The sequence below is a fragment of the Homo sapiens genome, chromosome 2, assembly GCF_000001405.40.
Source record: "Homo sapiens chromosome 2, GRCh38.p14 Primary Assembly".
Taxonomy (NCBI): domain Eukaryota; kingdom Metazoa; phylum Chordata; class Mammalia; order Primates; family Hominidae; genus Homo; species Homo sapiens.
The window spans coordinates 48005397-48009005 of NC_000002.12; positions in this window are offsets into that span (position 1 = coordinate 48005397).

Sequence of the window (3609 nt, forward strand, 5' to 3'; positions counted from 1 at the left end):
AGGTCAACATATTCCTCTGGTCACTGTATTTTCTGAAAATTGGCAACTGTATTCATGTATTTGTGGTTTCTATATCAACATTCCAGGTGGTGGCATTTTCTTTCACCAAGTGACACACAATTGCAGGGTTTTTTTCTGTTGTGGTATTAGCAGTGTCAATGACCAATGCTTGTGTCTATTAATTCAGTGTGGGTTTGAAAATGGTGATATTCTAATTCTACCATTTTGTTATTTTGTTTTCATTGTCACCTGCAATACTTTATGAAAAAATGCTTCCCATAACTACTTTTTGGTTATCCAGTGGTAAAAATGTATATAGGTAAGGCAGAATAAATGCTTGATTCTTTCTCTTTTATTTACTAGCTTTCAAGATAATGAATTAGTTTCCTATAATTCTCTGAAGGTTATCAATTTTTGGGTTCTTCAAATTTTGGGGAATTTTTTGGGTTATCAAATTTGGGGGGAAAATGGGTTTTTCCCATTTTTTAAAAGTTGTGGTAAAATACACATAACATACAATGTACCATTAGTGACATTTAGTACATTCACAATGTTGTGCAACCATCACCGCTGTATAGTTCGGAACATTCGTTTATCGTCCCAAGAGGGACCTCCTGTGAACAAAAGTTTTGTGCAAAGGAATTTGGAAGAAAGAGACTTTATTCCAATGAACCGTTTGCAAACCAGGGAGACACAGCCTTCAGTGTAAAGCAAAGGTGCATTCCAGAGAACAAAGAGAGGGTTTGGGTATTATGGCAAAAGTTCCTTCCCAGGTTCTCACTCAGATTCCCTTATTTAATTGAAAGATTCAAACTTGCTTCATTCTGATTGGTTGATGAGCTGAGTTCTGATTGGTAGATAAAGCTGAACCCTGGTTGGCTGAGGCAGGTGAGTTCTGATTGGTTGATTTAGGTAAGCTCTGAAAGTCCTGAAATATAAAAGATATGAGACTAAGTGGAACTCAAGAGTACTTGTGTAACTTTTGGTCAGCAAATGGCCACTTGGCTCTGTTTTAAATATAGGCCCAGTTAGTCACTCAGGATCCATCTTGAAGGATTGGCTTTTTCAGGTTCACCTTTGTTCAAAACCCCTGATCTTTAAGCAGGCATTTCCCTTTCCTCCTGGCCCCTAGATAGTGGCAACCACTCATCTGCTTTCTGTCTATATGCATTTACATACTCTGGATATTTTATACAAATCACATAATATATGGCCTTTAGTGTCTGGCTTGATCAATTAGTTTTTTAAAAATATTATAAATTTGTGAATTTAGACATATTTAATGGATTTCAATCAATTACAGTTATTCTCTTTTGAAGCTCCAATTTTCTTATGGTTGGTCAGCATAAGTCTCTTCAAGGTGGCTTCTGGGTCCTTTCCATGTGATCATACTATTCCTTGGCAAATGGCATTACAGGATATTCTAGGCTTATCTTGCATATTTGTTGCTGCAGACTCGTAATCAGCCATTTCTCTAAGAAACAGGTTTCTTCTAGTGAGTACATTTTGGGTACCAGATTAGCTCACTGCTATAGGATTCGTCATTGTTTTCAGTTATTGTTTTCAGTGGACAAAGTTAGATGGTATCTATGTCTAAATCTATATTTTCTAAGATACAATACTCCATGAGTTTATAGTGATATTTCCAATTCAAATTCAGGTCTACAGGTTTTTACTTACCCTCTTTGATGTTATAATTGTATCTATTGATTTCCACACTAAGAATCCTGCTTCTCAAGGTCACACGGGATAATAGAACATCCCATGATTACTGATTTGTTTTATCCCATGTATCACACATACAATCTCAGTACAACAATATTTAGTGAGAACAATTAAAATGTTTTGTTTTACATTGTGTAATCCCTATTCCCCCTCATTTTTTTTTTACAATTGTACTATATCTACATTGCTTAAGCATATAAGCATTACATACTATACCTGCTTCCTTATAACTCTCATTTAGTCTTAATTCCATAGATAATTATATATTGTATATTTAATGTTTACCAAAAGTCCTAATGTTGATATCTCTCCAGTCATTTTATTTGTCTAAAGTTCATTCTCTAGTAGATTTTGGGGAAGGGCTCATGGGTACAATATTCCCTGAATTGTTGCTTGTCAAAAATATTTTATCTATGTCTTTTGTACTTGAAAGTCTGTTTTTCTGAATATAAAATACTTGGCTTAAATTTTCTGTTTTTGAGTATCTTAAATATGTTACATCACTTTTTTCTGCTGTTGAAAGTTTTGATGTTAATCTGATTTTCCTTACCTAATAGGCCACTTGCTGTTTTTGCCCAAATAACCAAGGGATGTTTTCTTTCTCTTTCCTTTCTTTTCTTTTTCTTTTCTTTCTTTCCTTCCTTCCTTCCTGCCTGCCTGCCTGCCTTTCTTTCCTTTCCTTCCTTTCTTTCTCTCTTTCTTTCTTTCCTTCCTTTCTTTCTTTCTTTTTCTTCTTTCTTTCCTTCCTTTCTTTCTCTCTCTCCCTTCCCTCCTTCCTTCCTTTCTTTTTCTTTTCTTTCTTTCCTTCCTTTCCTTTCTTTTTTCTTTTCTTTCCTTTCTTCTTTCTTTCCTTCCTTTCTTTCTCTCTCTTTTTCTTCTTTCTTTCCTTCCTTCCTTCCTCCTTTCCTTTCCTCTTTTTCTTTTTTTCTTTCTTCTCTCTTTCTTTCTTTCTTTCCTTCCTTCCTTCCCTCTTTCTTTGTCATTCTAGAATATATCTTGGTGTTGGTTGTTCTGGGTTGATATTCTCAGGAACAGATGAGTCCTGTAGTTTCAAATCTTTCTGCGCTTCAGGAAAGTTTTTTCGATTAGATTTTTTAATAGTTGTTCTGCTCCCTTGCTTTGGTTTTCTCCCCCAGGATTTTTATTTTCTGTACGTAGAATCTTCTTTGCCTATCTTTCTCTTTCTTTTTTTTCTTTTTGAGACAGGTTCTCACTTTGCATCCAGGCTGAAGTGCAGTGGCATGATCACTCTCACTGCAGCCTTGACCTCCTCAGCTCAAGCAATCCTCCCACCTCAGTCTCCCAAGAAGCTGGCTGGACTACAGGCACACACCACCATGCCCAGCTAATTAGATATATATATTTTTTTTCTGTAGAGAAGGTGTCTCATTGTGTTGCCCAGGCTGGTTTTAAACTCTTGAGCTCGAAGCGATCCTCCTGCCTTGGCCTCCCAAAGTGCTGGGATTATAGGCATGAGCCACTGCTCCCAGCCTCTTGTCTATCTTCAATATGTGTTACTTTCTCTCAAATCCTTTTTAAAGTTTCTTCATTTATCATTCATCTTTAAAAATTAGAAAAAGTTCCTTTTCTTTACCTTCTATTTCCTTGGAAACCTAATGTATTGTTTTTATTAGTTCTAGGTTAGTGTTTACTTTTGAAATTTTTCTTCTTTCATTTCTAATTATTTCCTGAGATCTGTTACCTCCTGTATGATTCTTTTCTATGTTTTATTTATGTTGTTTCTTCAAATATTGTATTCTTTTCTTTATGTCCTTTAGCTCATTTTGAAATAGTTTCAACAGTTTTGATCTGTTCTGTGAGCATAACTGAGTGCTTTCATTGTGGATAGCAGTGGATCTTGAAGTGTGGTTCAAGACCCTTTCA